This window comes from Homo sapiens, chromosome 5 (assembly GCF_000001405.40).
Source record: "Homo sapiens chromosome 5, GRCh38.p14 Primary Assembly".
In the NCBI taxonomy this organism is placed as follows: Eukaryota; Metazoa; Chordata; class Mammalia; order Primates; family Hominidae; genus Homo; species Homo sapiens.
The window spans coordinates 156,911,287-156,926,668 of NC_000005.10; the positions used below are offsets into that span (position 1 = coordinate 156,911,287).

The 15,382-nt window shown below is 42.4% G+C and overlaps 1 protein-coding gene and 1 pseudogene across 3 annotated transcripts in view, besides 4 other annotated features; one reads left to right on the top strand and one right to left on the bottom strand.

The window, feature by feature from the left end:
- Positions 1,322 to 2,521: an enhancer, noted in NCBI's record as "CDK7 strongly-dependent group 2 enhancer chr5:156339619-156340818 (GRCh37/hg19 assembly coordinates)". NCBI's record gives its function as "activates an origin of replication core promoter dependent on BRD2, BRD4, P300/CBP, MED14 and CDK7 cofactors, with strong dependence on CDK7, by STARR-seq in HCT116 cells {active_cell/tissue: HCT116}" and the evidence as "EXISTENCE:reporter gene assay evidence [ECO:0000049][PMID:35650434]".
- Positions 2,522 to 3,467: an enhancer, noted in NCBI's record as "OCT4-NANOG-H3K27ac-H3K4me1 hESC enhancer chr5:156340819-156341764 (GRCh37/hg19 assembly coordinates)". NCBI's record gives its function as "activates a minimal SCP1, AML or CMV promoter by ChIP-STARR-seq in naive and primed H9 embryonic stem cells {active_cell/tissue: H9 hESC(naive and primed)}" and the evidence as "EXISTENCE:reporter gene assay evidence [ECO:0000049][PMID:30033119]".
- The window catches only part of TIMD4 (T cell immunoglobulin and mucin domain containing 4), a 43,935-nt gene continuing 36,558 nt past the window's right edge, over positions 8,006 to 15,382 (bottom strand). For all 3 annotated transcript variants that reach the window (XM_017010021.2, NM_001146726.2, NM_138379.3), the window contains 4 exons: positions 14,977 to 15,026; positions 10,813 to 10,930; positions 9,178 to 9,217; positions 8,006 to 8,255 (listed from right to left, as the gene is read on the bottom strand). In XM_017010021.2, coding sequence (XP_016865510.1) covers positions 8,171 to 8,255; positions 9,178 to 9,217; positions 10,813 to 10,930; positions 14,977 to 15,026 — 293 coding nt within the window. In that variant the 3' untranslated portion in view covers positions 8,006 to 8,170. The remainder of the gene's footprint in view (positions 8,256 to 9,177; positions 9,218 to 10,812; positions 10,931 to 14,976; positions 15,027 to 15,382) is intronic.
- Positions 9,508 to 9,617: an enhancer, noted in NCBI's record as "active region_23495". NCBI's record gives its function as "activates an Ori minimal core promoter by ATAC-STARR-seq in GM12878 lymphoblastoid cells {active_cell/tissue: GM12878}" and the evidence as "EXISTENCE:reporter gene assay evidence [ECO:0000049][PMID:35858748]".
- Positions 11,187 to 11,466: an enhancer, noted in NCBI's record as "active region_23496". NCBI's record gives its function as "activates an Ori minimal core promoter by ATAC-STARR-seq in GM12878 lymphoblastoid cells {active_cell/tissue: GM12878}" and the evidence as "EXISTENCE:reporter gene assay evidence [ECO:0000049][PMID:35858748]".
- APOOP1 (apolipoprotein O pseudogene 1) lies at positions 12,803 to 13,713 on the top strand (annotated as a pseudogene).

The following is a 15,382-nucleotide window of genomic DNA, read 5'->3' on the forward strand; positions in this document are numbered from 1 at the left end:
TAACACCTCATTCTTGTGAAGCTGCTGAACCCAATCCTACAACACTCCTAAGTCCCAACTCTAGTTATGTGAAATGATTCAAAGTCTTTGCTAATTAAATCATTATTTTTTCGTATTCTCTTACTTGCAAAAGAATACAGTCTTACTGAGACAATGAATGACTGCTTGTTCCCTACAGAAGATCTCCCATTATATCTAAGTACAAAAGAAAATATAGTTGCCTTTTTACCAAGTTCCTTATTGTGCAACAAAGATTACCACTTAACCAATCTCCCACTTTTCTCTTACAATCTTGGTGTCAAGACATCTTTCTAGTGTCTTCTGAAGAGATTCATAGTGCCACCCCGACCCTAAGGACATTCCTTCTCTGATTATCTTTTGTCTTATTATCACTTTCCATAGACTAAATATTATATCTTGGTTTGTAACTACTTTAGGGGGCCTCTTCCAGAGTAATTGGTCATTATCTTTATGCCTCAGATCTTCTTGAGCGATATTGATGATTTCCATATGCAAAATCACATGGGGTTAGTAGAGCCACACAAACTTAGGCCAAGCTTTGTTCTGATTAATTAGAAACATTATTTTCTGGTGCAAAGCTACCCCCTCTCTAGGGCTGAAGTTTGCAAACATTGCTGTATATTCAAATCACCTGAAGTGCTTTAAAAACTGATGCCCATGTCTCCTCGTTGTGAATCAAATCAGGACCTCAGATGGGAGCCAGGCATCAGTATTTTTAAAAATGTTTTAATTATTTATTTATTTTATTATTTTACTTTTTGAGATGGAGTTTCGCTCTTGTCACCCAGGCTGGAGTGCAATGGCGTGATCCTGGCTCACTGCAACCTCCACATCCCAGCTTCAAGTGATTTTCCTGCCTCAGCCTCCCGAGTACCTGGGATTGCAGGCGCCTACCACCATGCATAGCTAATTTTTGTATTTTTAGTAGAGGTGGGGTTTCACCATGTTGGCCAGGCTGGTCTCGAATTCCTGACCTCAGGTGATCCACCCTCCTCGGCCTCCCAAAGTGCTGGGATTACAGGCGTGGGCCACAGCATCTTGCCTAAATTTATTTTTAATTGACAATAATTGTGTATATTTATGGGGTACAAGGTGATGTTTTGATCTATGGATCAGGCATCAGTATTTTTTAAGTTTCTCCATGTGATTCCAGTGTGCAGCTGAGTTTGAAAATCAATGCTTTAGACCAGGACTTCTCAAACTTTAATGTGCACATGAGTGACCTAGAGATCCTAGATGTTACAAGGTGAATTCTGATTCATAGGATCTATGGTAGGGCCTGGGATTCTGCATTTCTAATATGCTCCCAGGTGATGACAAAACTGCTGGTCTGAATCTCACACTTCGAATAGCAAGGGTCTAGATATAAAATGTAGATCTAGTAGTAGTCTATTCTAACAGCGGATCTGAACAAACTAAATTCCATTTGGGTTCAACTGCAAAGTCACAGGAAAAGTGATCACTGCAATAAAGTCAAGAGCAGGGGCTGTGAGTGAGAGAACTGAGAGGATGGTTGTTTTTGATCTCTAGTTTATAGACTTAGGTTGACCAACCATCCAAGAGAAGCCATCTTTGCAAAATTATAACGATGAGAGAAATCTGACACAGTCGACCCCATTTTGCATAACTGACATATTTTGACCCCATAGTTTCCACAATCCCTTATTGCTCAGGAGTCATATGGCCAGAGATCACAAGGTTTGCGACTTCCCCAGTTGCTCATCTAGGTAACATCACTACTGTAGAAACTAAGATTGGTTTTTTGAAATATTTTTTCAACAGATCCCACCCGGCCTTGTGACTCATGATTCACCCGGTCCTGTGGCCCCACCCAGAGTTGGACTCAGCACACAAAGAAGTGTTCCACACCCCTATGATTTCATCCCCAATTTATCAGCAGCACCCTTTCCCTAGACCCCTGCTCTCCAAACTGTCCATAAAAACCCTAACCTTCAAGCCTTTGGGGAGATTGATTTGTATAATAACTCTATTTCCCATGTGGCTGGCGTCATGTCCATTAAACTTTTTCTCTACTGCAATGCCGTGTTCTCAATGAACTGGTTTTGTCTGTGCAGATGGCACAGGAAGAACCTATTGGGTGATTACACCAGTTTGCCCAGGACTGAGGGGTTCCTGGCATGTGGGACTTTGAGTTTTAAAACCAAGAAAGCCCAGAGCAAATTGAGACAAGTTGGTCACCATAGTTATGGTGCTGCTAGGAGAGCAGCAGAGCAGCCAAGCTGTGCGCTTTTTGCATTCTGATTCCTCTTCCTGGGGGCAGCAGCCCACTATAAAGCCAGGGGTGTGCTAAGATAGATGGCTTACGGAAAAGGAACGCTGAATTGCATGGCCACACCAACAAGAACTTAATTACATGACTCCAGAAGGGCAATAACAGGGCAGATTCTGTGAAAACTCCAGAATCTTAGCCACAGAGACAAGTCTAGAAAACACAGTTTAGTGCTTTGCTCTAGCACTGGTTAACTGTGGGACCTGGGCAACTCATGCCCCCTTTCTGAGCCTCAGTTTCCTTGGCTGAAAATGGGAGTGAAACTGACAGATGTGTGCGAGTCTTTGCTGTGCTCCCACCCCATTATTTCACATACAGTATGGATAATGCATATAACCGCACAATAGCACCTTTTCAGCACAAGCAGCAAATCCACCTTCTGTTTTGCGAGCAGCCATTTCCAGTGCTCCCCAAACTCCCTCTGGATAGCATTAGCATTCATCTTATTCGGGAACACTTCCCTTCACTGTCCTTTGATGCTCAGAGAGCTGAGAACTCACAGTGCTTTTTTTTTTTAAGGCTGTAACATATTTACAAATCTAAATGAAGCTCTATTTCCAGACCCAGTCTTTCGGTTTTGAGTGGCTTCCTCCTTCTGCTCTCACCTCCACCCAGGGAGCCCACTTCTCAACTTCCTGTTTTCTTTAGAGAGACAAAGAGTCTCCCCAGCCACCCATTGCTGGATTCCTGTTAACCTTTCATTAAGCCTGCTGACAGCTGGCTTTAGCTCTTCATGAGTTAGTTCAACACATTCCCATTTAAATGTGTCCCACCTGGCTTCATTAAGTTTCCTGCCAGGTTCTCCCTTTACAGCTTCCTCTGCAAATGCAAATCAGATTCTGAGTAAATAATATGGGGACAAGGGAAGATTGAGCTATAATGGGGTTGTAACTGGAAAGCCATTGATATACTCAGGTTGCTGTGGATCAGAGGACACTGAAATCCATTTGAGTCCAATGCAGGTCAGTGTTACAGAGCCATATGCATGAAGTCTGGAATTGGAGCCCTCACTGTGAAGTACAGGGTAGTGGTTAGAGTGTGGAGTCCTTCAAGCCTGGTTCAAAACCTGGCTCTGCTACAGGAGATTGGACGACGTGACCTTGAGCAAGTTCCTTCACCTGCCTGTGCTTCTGTTTTCTTAGCTCCAAAGCCAAAATAATATACCCGCTTTATTGAGCTGCTGTCAGGAGTCAATGAGATAATTGCCTTGAAACAGTTAATAGAGTACCCAGAATATAATAGGTGCTCATTACAAATTGATAGTATCTCCTGTGTTTAGCCTAGAAAGGCCATGGTGAGGAATTAGGTTGCTTTAAATTGAGCTTGCATGCGGCCCAGGATGGCTTTGAATGTGGCCCAATACAAATTGGTAAACTTTCTTAAACATTATGAGATTTTTTTTGCGATTTTTTTAGCTTATTAGTTATAATTAGTGTTCGCGTATTTTATGTGTGGCCCAAGATAATTCCTTTACTTCCAGTGTGGCCCAGGGAAGCCAAAAGATTGGAAACTCCTGCTTTAAATTGTGAGGTTTGATTGTGGATCCACCATATAATCATTAGCTGTAAGAAGCACATACTGCATCACATTCCTTCCTTATGGAAATGGAAAAACAACATTGATTCCATTCGATTGCATTACCTTTTTGTTTGTTTGTTTGTTTTTTGAGACAGACACAGTCTTAATCCGTTTCCCAGGCTGGAGTGCAATGGTGCGATCTCGGCTCACTGCAACCTCCTCCTCCCAGGTTCAACCGATTTTCCTGCCTCAGCCTCCCGAGTAGCTGGAATTACAGGCACCTGCCACCAAGCTTAGCTAATTTTTGTATTTTGGGTAGAGACAGGGTTTCGCCATGTTGGCCAGGCTGGTCTCAAACTCCTGGCCTCAAGTGATGTGCCACCTCGGCCTCCCAAAGTGCTGGGATTACAGGTGTGAGCCACTGCACCCGGCCTATTCTATTGCATTTCCCATGTGTGTTTTGTCTCATTCAGAAGTGAAGCTCCTTAAAAGAAGCAATTCTCTCTCCTGGGCCCCACATACAATAGATACCAAAAAGTTATTTATAGATGCTAACAATTCATCCTGATTACACAAAGAGGGAATGAGAGGAGCAACTACATCCACAGCCTCCTCTGATCAAGGAGTCTCAGTATAAGAATTATATATTTATTTTAATTCATCTTTTACTAAAATCCACCCTTTATCCCCAGTCTCAAACTGGCTACCTTGTTTTAGCCCACAGCCATGTTTTGCTTGCCCAGGAAATCATTTTAACTAATTTTAAATTTTAATGCCCTTAAGTGGACATACACTCCGATTTATCATGGGCCATGTCATCTCCCTTTGACTCCCTCAACTGTATCAGCTGCCTGGCCTCTAAATTCATCAGAGTTTGCCACCTCTGCCCCAGGCAGAGCTAAGTGTGCTGCTTCTAGGTAGGTCTAGGGGCCAAGGATGAAAAGGGCTGGAAGACAGGAGACAGGAGACCCATACCTGTATTGAAAGAGGGTATCTCTGCCACAGCATGGAGAACAGACAGGAAAAGGAGTAAAGTCAGAGATTATAATTAGGAAGATACTGCAGGAATCCAGCCAGAAAGTGCTATCAGCTTAAAGGAGATGAAGCAGCAGGACCTTTGCCCCTGGTACTGGAAGCTCCTGACCCTCTGTCTGGCCAAGCCCACCACCACACAGCCCTGGTAAAGGGAGATTGTTTTCTTGAACACTTTATCTGTTAGGAATTACTACAGTGCAACATTTCTCAAACTCTAACGCACATCAGAATCATCTGGAGGGTCTGTTAAAACACAGTTTGCTAGACTCTACCCCCAGAGTTTCTGATTCTGGAGGTATGGGGTGAAGGACATGAATCTGCATTTCTATCAAGTACCAGTGACACGGAGGCTGCTGGTCTGAAGTGCATAGTTTGAGAGCCACCGGGCTAGACCAGCATTTTTCAGAACTTGGTTCCATATTAGAACCACTTTGGGACATTTTTCAAAAATTCAGATGCCCAAGTCATACCCTGGACCAATTACAGAAAGAATCTCTTAAAGGGTAGGACTCAGGAATTGGCATTTAAAAAGCTCCCCAGTTGATTATTCAGCTAACATTGAGAACTACTAGGACAGAGGCTCCTGGAGGCCATTACGAGCTCTAAAATACTATGATTGCTCATGTTAGTGTTTCTTAGTCGGTACAAGGAGTTTCAGAAATACATTTGGGAATCGATTGAAAATACCCCTTTGCAAAACAGAAAAGTAATATTCATTGAGTTTAAATGTTCTGTTTAGGAAGTGTCTGTCGTCTTCTTTTTCTAGTCAGACCCAAGCTGGTAGTGACATTGATAATGGCGGTGGTTTTGGAAGGTGGATAGGGAGCATGAGCTAAGTTAGGGTTGGGTGTATCATTACCTCACAAGATACTATAACCTGACTACATACACAAAGCCATCTGGCCCCACTCCATTTTCTAGATGGGGAAATTCAGGCCCTGAACCTGGCTCTAGACCCACTTCCCCAACGTTTCTAAATAAATGTTTGAGTTTAGCACACTAGACAAAGTCACTTTAAGTATCTTAAGCTGACATCAAAGCCAAGTTGACCAAAAAAAAAAAAAAATTTTTTTTTTAAAAAAAGGGCCAGGCACAGTGGCTCACGCCTGTAATCCCAGAACTTTGGGAGGCCAAGGCAGGCAGATCACCTAAGGTCAGGAGCTCGAGACCAGTCTGGCCAACATGGCAAAACCCATCTCTACTAAAAATATAAAAAATTAGCCAGGTGTGGTGGCGGGCGCCTGTAATCCCAGCTGCTTGGGAGGCTGAGGCAGGAGAATCGTTTGAACCCACCAGGCAGAGGTTGCAGTTAGCCAAGATCATGCAATTGCACTCCAGCCTGGGCAACAACAGCAAAACTCCGTCTCGAAAAGACGAGAAAAGAAAAGAGAAGAGAAAAAGAAAAGAAACAGCTGCCAATCTGCTGCTAATTGTTTTCATCATTGGTGCCAATCATTCTGCCCAACTGCAACTGAACAAGTCAGAAGTCAGGCTGCCTTGGGCCAGTTTTTCCAAGTACCCAGGTGAGGGGGATTTTTACTAACTGTTGGATCAGTGTTGTGTGAACTAATAGGACAAAAAAATCTATAGGCTTCACCAGTCAAGTAATTAGACTGACTTTTTTCTCTCTTAAATGTAATGTCAAGAGAGTTGAAATCCAAAGATGGCTACATTTAGAGAACCACGTACTTATTCCATTAATGTTGCTATTGCTGTAAACATGCTGGGAAGTCCTTCACAGAAATGTCTTTCAGATCTGGTTTACTTTCCACATTTCTACCCAGCCAGAAGCCCCTCTCACTCAGGCACACATGTTTTTTATACATTCATTCAACAACTGTTTGCTTTAATCTCTCTCCCATGGCTCCTCGTGTTAGCAGTTATTAAAGTTTTAAAATAAACCTGTTGTTGCTGAGGAGCACATTTCCAAGATTATATTTAGAGAAACTTATTTGGATTGCCTTGCTTTCACATCCACGCACTGCCCCTGGTTGAATATTCCTGTCATTCACCACATTTTACTCCCACGGACTCTTCCCTGTTTCCAAAATTAAATTCCCCAAGCAAGAACTAGGATGTGACACTATGGTCACCTCTAAAGACACTCAAATGTGAAAAGAAAATAATAGAAAATTTAGGAGTTTTAGAAGTGAGTCAATGTTGGCCAAGTGCAGTGGCCCAAGCCTGTAATCCCAGCACTCGGGGAGGCTGAGGCAGGCAGATTACCTGAGGTCAGGAGCTAGAGACCCACCTGGCCAATACAGTGAAACCCCATCTCTACTAAAAATACAAAAATTGGTGGTCATGGTGGCATGCACCTGTAAGCCCAGCTGCTCAATCAGGAGGCTTAGGCAGGAGAATCGCTTGAACCCGGGAGGCGGAGGTTGCAGTGAGCAGAGATTGTCCATTGCACTCCAGCCTGGGCAACAGAGCAAGACTCCGTCTCAAGAAAGAAAATAAAGAAGTGAGTCACAGTTACGGTGTGATTCCATGTCATTTCCTGCATTGTTAATGAACCATAGGCTCTGTGCTGCTCATATCATACCTGCAGTGAGACAATGAACTCTGAAAGCTGGGCATAAAAGGAGAGATACGAATCCATACGAGATGAAGGCAATTAGGGTAACAAAAGAACCAGAAATTGTATCCCAGAAGCAAGGAAATTTGGAGAAACATGAGATTCTCCTTCTAATACCTGAAGAGTTAACAGCTCTCCAGTACTTCCCAGCATGCTTAGAGCAATAGCAACATTAATGGAATAAGCACATGTTTCTCCAAAGGTAACCATCTTTTGGATTTCTACTCTCTTGACATTACCTTTAAGAGAGAAAAAAAAAAATCAGTCTTATTGACTGATGGAGCCTATAGATTTTTTGTCCTGTTAGTTCACACAACACTGATCCGGCAGTTAATAAAGGAGATGTTCTGATAGGCATAAGGAGCTCAACTATGACCTATGGGCAGATGTCATCCGGAGACAGATTTTGCTATAAATATTTCTTAATCTCAGAACTGCTCTGAGATTGAATGGACTCCCTTGCGTGTGGTAAGGAGTTCACTGTCACTGAAAGTGTTCAAGTGTACTGTGAAAGATCACTTAGCGGTGATTCTACAGAGATGATTAGAGCATGGACAGAGAAGTTGTGGTCTCTAAAGTACCCTTCATTCATGAAACTAAAGCAAGCCTGGATCAATGACATCCATGGAATAAGTGAGTCTTTTTTATGAAACAAGGAAATCTACTAAGACTTATTTTGACACTGGAGTGTCATGCCCCCATCCTCAATCTAACATGCTACTGCGTTGTTAGAGGGTAAAAAGGCCGTCTTCGTCTTCCCTTCCATGCTGCACGTCATTGAGGACATTTTTACTATCTCCAATGTAGTCTAGCCTGTAAACAGAAAAGAGGGGCTCATAATGGGAAACACAAGACTAGAAAACAAAACAAAACAGATGCTGCTAAGTTACAGTGCAATTACCCTTAAAGTTCAAAGGGCTCACAGTTCATTTAGTCTAAGCTCCACATTTTACAGATGGGAAAACTGAGGCTGCAGGGGAAAAAGAGTTTCTGCCAATCCATTATAATGAGATAAAAAAGATTCTTAGCAAAATATAAAATCATGATTTCAATACGTTTATTTACCAAAAGGTCTCTAAGTGTGACCTTGAAAGGTCACCTCGCTGGGTGTCAATTTTCCTTCTTGCTAATACATATTGTGGTATTAATGCAACTAATTAGTGAATGCAATTAATTAGGCAAGGACTTCATTAATAATTTATGCCTTTTTTAAAAATTTCTTTTCCAAAAGCTATAGAATAGGGCAAATAGCTAAAATCCCTTACTAGAGAATCTTCAAATACTATTTTTAAAAAGGCCCCAAAACAAGCTGCTTCCATGGTCTAACTGGGCAGAGGAACCAACTCCCAGGAATAATATTCTACATGCTTTTTTCATTTTCCATATTGCCAACGCTCCTCAATAAACTCCAGTTTAACAATGGCCTCTTAAACTAACTTACCCATAGGTGAACAAAAAATTTCAGAGTAAAGTGCCATATCACCTTCTTTCTTTTGCGTGCTATACTTCTATTAATCCCACCTGCCTTGGTACTGGCATTTTGCTCAGAGTGTTAACCAAGACACAGGTTAATGTGAGCTAAATCTGCACAACTTTTTCACTTCTAATGTCACATCTTTCCAACTCTATGTGTAATCGTAACACAAGCTCAAGTCATTAAACCACTGAGTAGTAGCTAATCATTTGTAACAGCTTGTACAATCATTACAACACCCATTCATGCAAGATAGATTACCTTGTGTGTTTCTGCGAACAATAGGTTTCCATGAGTTTCCCTGAAAAGACAAGGCCACAGTGTGAGCAGAGTGGCTGCGGTGCATAGAACATGCAAAATGCTGGGGGAATTCCAGTGCTGCCCCGCAAAGAGCAGATATGGGCCAAAGGTGAGAACCAGTGGCTGGCTTTGGCAGAAAAAGCCATTCCCTTTCCCAGGTCAAACACTTGCTATTTTAACCACAGTTAGTGCTCATCAATTACCAAGTTGTTCCAACATTCTGGGCAATGGTGTTAAGCTATTTCATTCTGAGTCATCTGCCTATCCAGAATTCAAGCACTCACTTGGGTTTCAAAACACTTCTTTACGAGACATACTCAGAATTTTCCAAAACTGTAATCATGCCTTTGTATGAAGGCTAACAGCAGGATTCCAGTAAATTTTAAATTTGCTTTTGCACCTGGGGCAGGTGTTGAAATATACAAGTTTCATTATTATTCAAATCAGCTGAGATGGTTACTAGTCTCATCTCCTGACATACTGCCCTGAAACAGCTTTTGTTAATGAGTACAGAACAATTTATCCCCATTTTACAACAGTACCAGGTGCCACGTGCCTATAATTTGCCTGAAAACCATAAGCTGTTTCATGGCTGTTTTTGTAGCATTTTAAAACTTTTGGGGGCGGGGGGCAGGGGTGGGATGGAGGTGCAAGGTCATGGAGCAGCTTGCTAACTTAATGAAAACTACAGACCTTGTCCCCTGAAAAATGCAGGCATGAACACATAAACACTTTTGCATGTGATTTCAAAGGATTCACATTACCCTTGAAGTCCATCTGTGGCCTCCAGGTTAAGAAAGCTTGCTTTTAGGGAACATATAAGAAAACCAGGATCACGCCAGGCATGGTGGCTCATGCCTGTAATCCCAGAGCTTTGGGAGGCTAAAGTGGGTGGATCACCTGAGGTCAGGAGTTTGAGTCCAACCTAGCCCACATGGTGAAACCCCCTCCTACTAAACATACAAAAATTAGTCCCGTGTGATGGCGTGAACCTGTAGTCTCAGCTACTCAGGAGGCTGAGGCAGGAGAATCACTTGAACCCAGGAGGCGGAGGTGCAGTAAGCTGAGATCACGCCACTGCACTCCAGCCTGGACAACAGAATGAGACTCTCTCAAAAAAAAAAAAAAAAAAAAAAAAAAAAAAGAAGAAGAAAACCAGGATTGTTCATGGTCTTCGTCCTGCAACAATCCTAGCCAAAAGAAGAGACAAGCTAGGGTTTTCCCAACCAAAGAACAGAGAAAGTGAACAAAGTAGGAAATAGTACTTTCCTCTTAAGGCAGTAATAGGGATAAAATGAATTAGGCACATCAAGAGTATACCATCAGGACTGGCACAGAAATGTCCAATAAATGAAGGTGCTCTTCTGCTTTTTTTCCTTTTCCAAAACGTAAACTCTACCAGGAGGTTAATACACAGAGTCATTAGCAGCTTGGGGAGAATGAACTTACCTGTTACTTCCCTGGCTGGGATGGGAACAATGGCAGAACTGAGCCTCTTTGGGGAGGGATAAAGGGGAAGGAAGTGGAGACAACTCCAGATCCTCCTGCAGTCGCCAGGGTTCTGAAGTGCTCCATCACCTGGCCCTCCCTCCTTACCTCTCAGGAGAAACGCCACAAACAATGCGAAGAGCACAAATCCCAAGGAGGGGGCGATGATCATCAGTAGTTGGGAGATGGGCATTTCATTCTTCATTGACATGGGTATTCCATCCATCTGATGGGACACAGGCAAGGAGATGGACCCAGTCACTGCTAGATGCCACCCTCACAAGATGACATCCCAGCCCAATAGCACCTTACAACCACCAGCAGTTTCACTACATTTCACCACCTTTTGTCAAAAATCTCTGAAAACCCAAAACACGTGACCCATATCCCAAAATTTTCCGAAGTGTTAGACATCAGGCATAAGGAGCTGTGGGGCTCAGGGGTCTGAGGATAAAAAATAACTGTTGTGAGCTGTGTTCTCCATGGTCAAATCTCTTTCCTAGCCGCTGCTCAAATCCTTTGAGCTCTCCCTAGCCCTGTGCTACTCTTTTCATGGCTGACTTAGGCTTCTAGAGAAAACAGGATGAAAGAGAAAATGAAACTTAATTTCACATTTTCTACAGCAGTGGTTCTCAAAGTCTAGATGGGGGGCCCATGAGATCAAAATGATTTTCATGAGACATTTTTTGCCATTTTCACTATCATTCTCTCATGAGATATACAGTATACTTTCCCAGAGGCTATGTGATGTGTGATGTCATTGCTGTCACTTACACAGAATGTGGAAACAGAGATGAGAATCCCTCTGTCTCCTATTAAGCCAGATATTAATGAGATTTGCAAAAAATGTAAAACAATGCCATATTTCTCAGTAATTTTTTCATTCATTTTTCTCACTAATATTTTTTCAAAATAGAGTTAGTTAGTTGCCATAAAACATGTTATGTTAGCACAAAGTGAGTTTGTTGTTATTTTTAAATAAATTGATTTTTTTAAATGTTTTAAATACAGATACCTGTATAACAAACTTGCACATGTACCCCTGAACCTAAAAGAAAAGTTTAAACTTTTTTTTTTTAATTTTAAAAAATGAGATGGTGTCTCGCTATGTTGCCCAGGCTGGGCTCAAGCTCCTGCCATTGCTGGGATTAAATTTTTTTTTTTTTTTTTTTTTTTGACACAGAGTCTCACTCTGTCAGCCAGGCTGGAGTGCAGTGGTGCAATCTCAGCTAACTGCAACCTCTGCCTCCCGAGTTCAAGCAATTCTCCTGCCTCAACCTCCCACGTAGCTGGGGTTACAGGCATGCATATCCAAGCCCGGCTAATTTTTTTGTTTTTAGTACAGATGGGTTTCCACCATGTTGGCTAGGCTGGTCTCGAACTCCTGACCTCAAGTGATCTGCCCACCTCAGCCTCCCAAAGTGCTGGGATTATAGGCATGAGCCACTGCACCCGGCCTAAAAAAATTTTTTAATTGTAAAAATGTCTCAGTTTTTTCTGCTGAGCAGTCTAGAGAATCAAAAACCAAGTCTCAGTTTTAAGAAACTGATTTTTTTTTTCTTTTGTAGAGACAAGGTCTTGCTCTTGCCCAGGCTGGAGTGCAGTGGCAATGATTACAGCTCACTGCAACCTTGAATTCCCGGGTTCAAGCAATCCTCCCACCTCAGCCTCCTGAGTAGCTGGGACTACAGGCATGCATCACGATGCCTGGCTATTTTTTTTTTTTTTAATTTTGTGTAGAGACAGAGTCTCACTATTTTGCCCAGGCTGGTCTTGAACTCCTGGGCTCAAGCAATCCTCCTGCCTCGGCTTCCCAAAGTGGGATTACAGGAGTGTGCCACAAGACCCAGGCTGTTATTTTGTTTGAGACAGGGTCTCTCTCTGTTGCCTACGTTGTAGTGCAGTGGCACAAACAAGGCTCACTGCAGCCTCAACCTCCTGGACTCAAGTGATCCTCCCACCCCAGCCTCCCAAAGTAGCCAGGATTATAGGTACATGATACCACACTCGGCTATTTTTTTTTTAATTTTTATTTTTGTAGAGACAGGGGTCTCGCCCTGTTGCCCAGGCTAGAAACTGAGTTTCAAACGTTTAAAAAGACCTTGTGAAAGTCCCCACTGCCAGTAACATGTTCAAGGTGGTTTAGAGGTCCATGGGGCTGACCAGCCTGAGCCTACTCACCTTCAAAGTCTATGCAGCACCAAAAAAGGACTTCCCTCCCCAAAATCCCATGAAGGTTTATGAGTTTTACTCTACTAAGTTCTCGAGGGCTAATCTAAACATGCAGATGAGTCAAGGACCCAGCTTAGGAAAGCATCTCTCAGCTTTGACATTATCAAGAGCTATATAAAAGTTGGTGTCAGGAAAGGTACTCCTAAATGAAGCCAAAGATGTAAAGTTTGGTTCAATGGGGGTGAGACAGCTATGAATATCTCCAAAATGCACCTGCTGGATTTTTTCCAGGACTGGGTGTTATTGGTTTTGCTGGCCTTGTTGGACTTGTTTTGGCTAGAGGTTCAAAAATAAAGAAGCAGGCATTTCTACCCAGTTTCATAGGATTAGCAGCCTCTATCCATTATCCACAGCAAGCCATCGAGTTTGTGCAGGTCAGAAAGGAGATATTATATGACCAGGGTTTATGAGGATACATAGTCGTGGAAGATTTTTGGAAGGAGAACTTTCTAAAGCCAGGAAATGTGAGGAATTCATCTGAAAATAAATAGAAAATTTCATGCTCTACACATTTTAATCAGTTACAGGTAAGCAACAGAAACTTCAAATGGTCAATCATTATTTTTACAGAAAAATAGCAGAGAAGTCAGTATTGAATATATTAAACTGGCTTTCTTCTTCAGGAAAAACTATACTAGGTCTCTGTTATCTTGGGTGATGCCATCCTACAAGCAAACAAATCTGAAATCCTTTCACTTAGAGATAAGGCACAAGGCTTAGAACTCCCTGTACTCATGTTGCTATTTACATACATGATTAAAATCCAAGTTAAAAAAAGAAAAAGAGAGAGAGAGAGAGAATATAGGCCAGGCATGTTGGCTCACGCCTGTAATCCTGGCACTTTGGGAGGCCAAGATGGGTGGACCACTTGAGGCTAGGAACTGAAGACCAGCCTGGCCAACATAATGAAACCACATCTCTGTTAAAAATATAAAAAATCAGCCAGGCATGGTGGCATGTGCCTGTAATCCCAGCTACTCAGGAGGCTGAGGCAGGAGAATCGCTTGAACCCAGGAGGCAGAGGTTGCGGTGAGTCAAGATTGCACCACTGCACTCCAGCCTGGGCAAGAGTGAGACTTTGTCTCAAAAAAAATTGAGAACTGCTGCTCTGCAGGCAGGCATTGGGGCATCTTGCTGGGGCTATGCCATCTCCATTGACCAAGATATGCTCTCTCCCTCTCTTCCTGTTCCATTCTGTAACACACAGAATCCCAGAGACAGTGGGCACAGCAACCAGGACAGGACAACAGACAGTGTCTGAGAGAGAGATGGGGAAGAAGAAAGAGGGGATGGGGAAACTTTACTTATCCTTTACAGACTTCTGTACTGCCTGAAGCTTTCACTTAAAATGGCTTGAATCACTTTTGTAATAATAAAAATAGCACCCTCAGAAAACAAGAGAAATATTGATGGCAGGTGTTGATTCTGCAGTATGTCATGAACTCTGGGTCACGCAGACGGAACACACAATGATCTTGCATGTTTTTTATATTTTTTTCTTTTTGCTTTTCAAAGTATTGGCACATACAGATGTAACAATCAAGGTTATTTCTGCCAAGAGTACAAGTCTATAAATTATTGGGCTGTTTCATAATTGTTGCAATGAATTTTGCGACAGCAATATCCTGCTTTTCCTAGTCCATCTCTGCAAACCTCTGCGGATTTTTTGTTTGTTTGTTTTTTGTTTTGTTTTGTTTTAAGAGACACAGTCTCACTCTGCCACCAGGCTGGAGTGCAATAGCGCCATCTTGGCTCACTGCAACCTCTGCCTCCTGGGTTCAAGCAATTCTCATGCCTCAGCCTTCTGGGTAGCTGGGACTACAGGCATGTGCCACCACACCTGGCTAATTTTTGCATTTTTGATAGAGATGGGGTTTTGCCGTGTTGGCCAGGGTGATCTCAAATTTCTGGCATCAAGTGATCTGCCCACCTTGGCCTCCCAAAGTGCTGGGATTATAGGCATGAGCCACCGTGCCTGGCCACTACTGTGGATTTTTACTATTTAAGTGATATACTGCAAATACTTCACAGATTTTTTACCTGTCCTGTTTTTGTTGTTTTGTTCTGCTCAGGAACTGCTGTATCAGATGCTGGGAAGGAAAAGAGAAGAAAATGGTTATATGTCTGGTTGGGGAATAAAATATCACATCCTGAAATAGGTAATTAAGAGTCCATCTGGAACTGCAGCTGATGTGTTTAATTATTTAATCCCGTGTTTTTTGTATAATCTATTTATGCATATTTGTTTTGATATGGTTTTAATGTAAATTTTATCTGCTATACAACGTTATCCCTGGGAACATCACCATTTTACAGATGAGTAGAGTCAGGCATTGGGCCAGTAGGCAATTGGCTCTAATTTTTCTGTAGGCTTCAGCAATTCATTCAGGATTTTTATCCGGCAAGAAAATTTGTCAGTTTTCTAGTTAATAAATATTTACTGAGC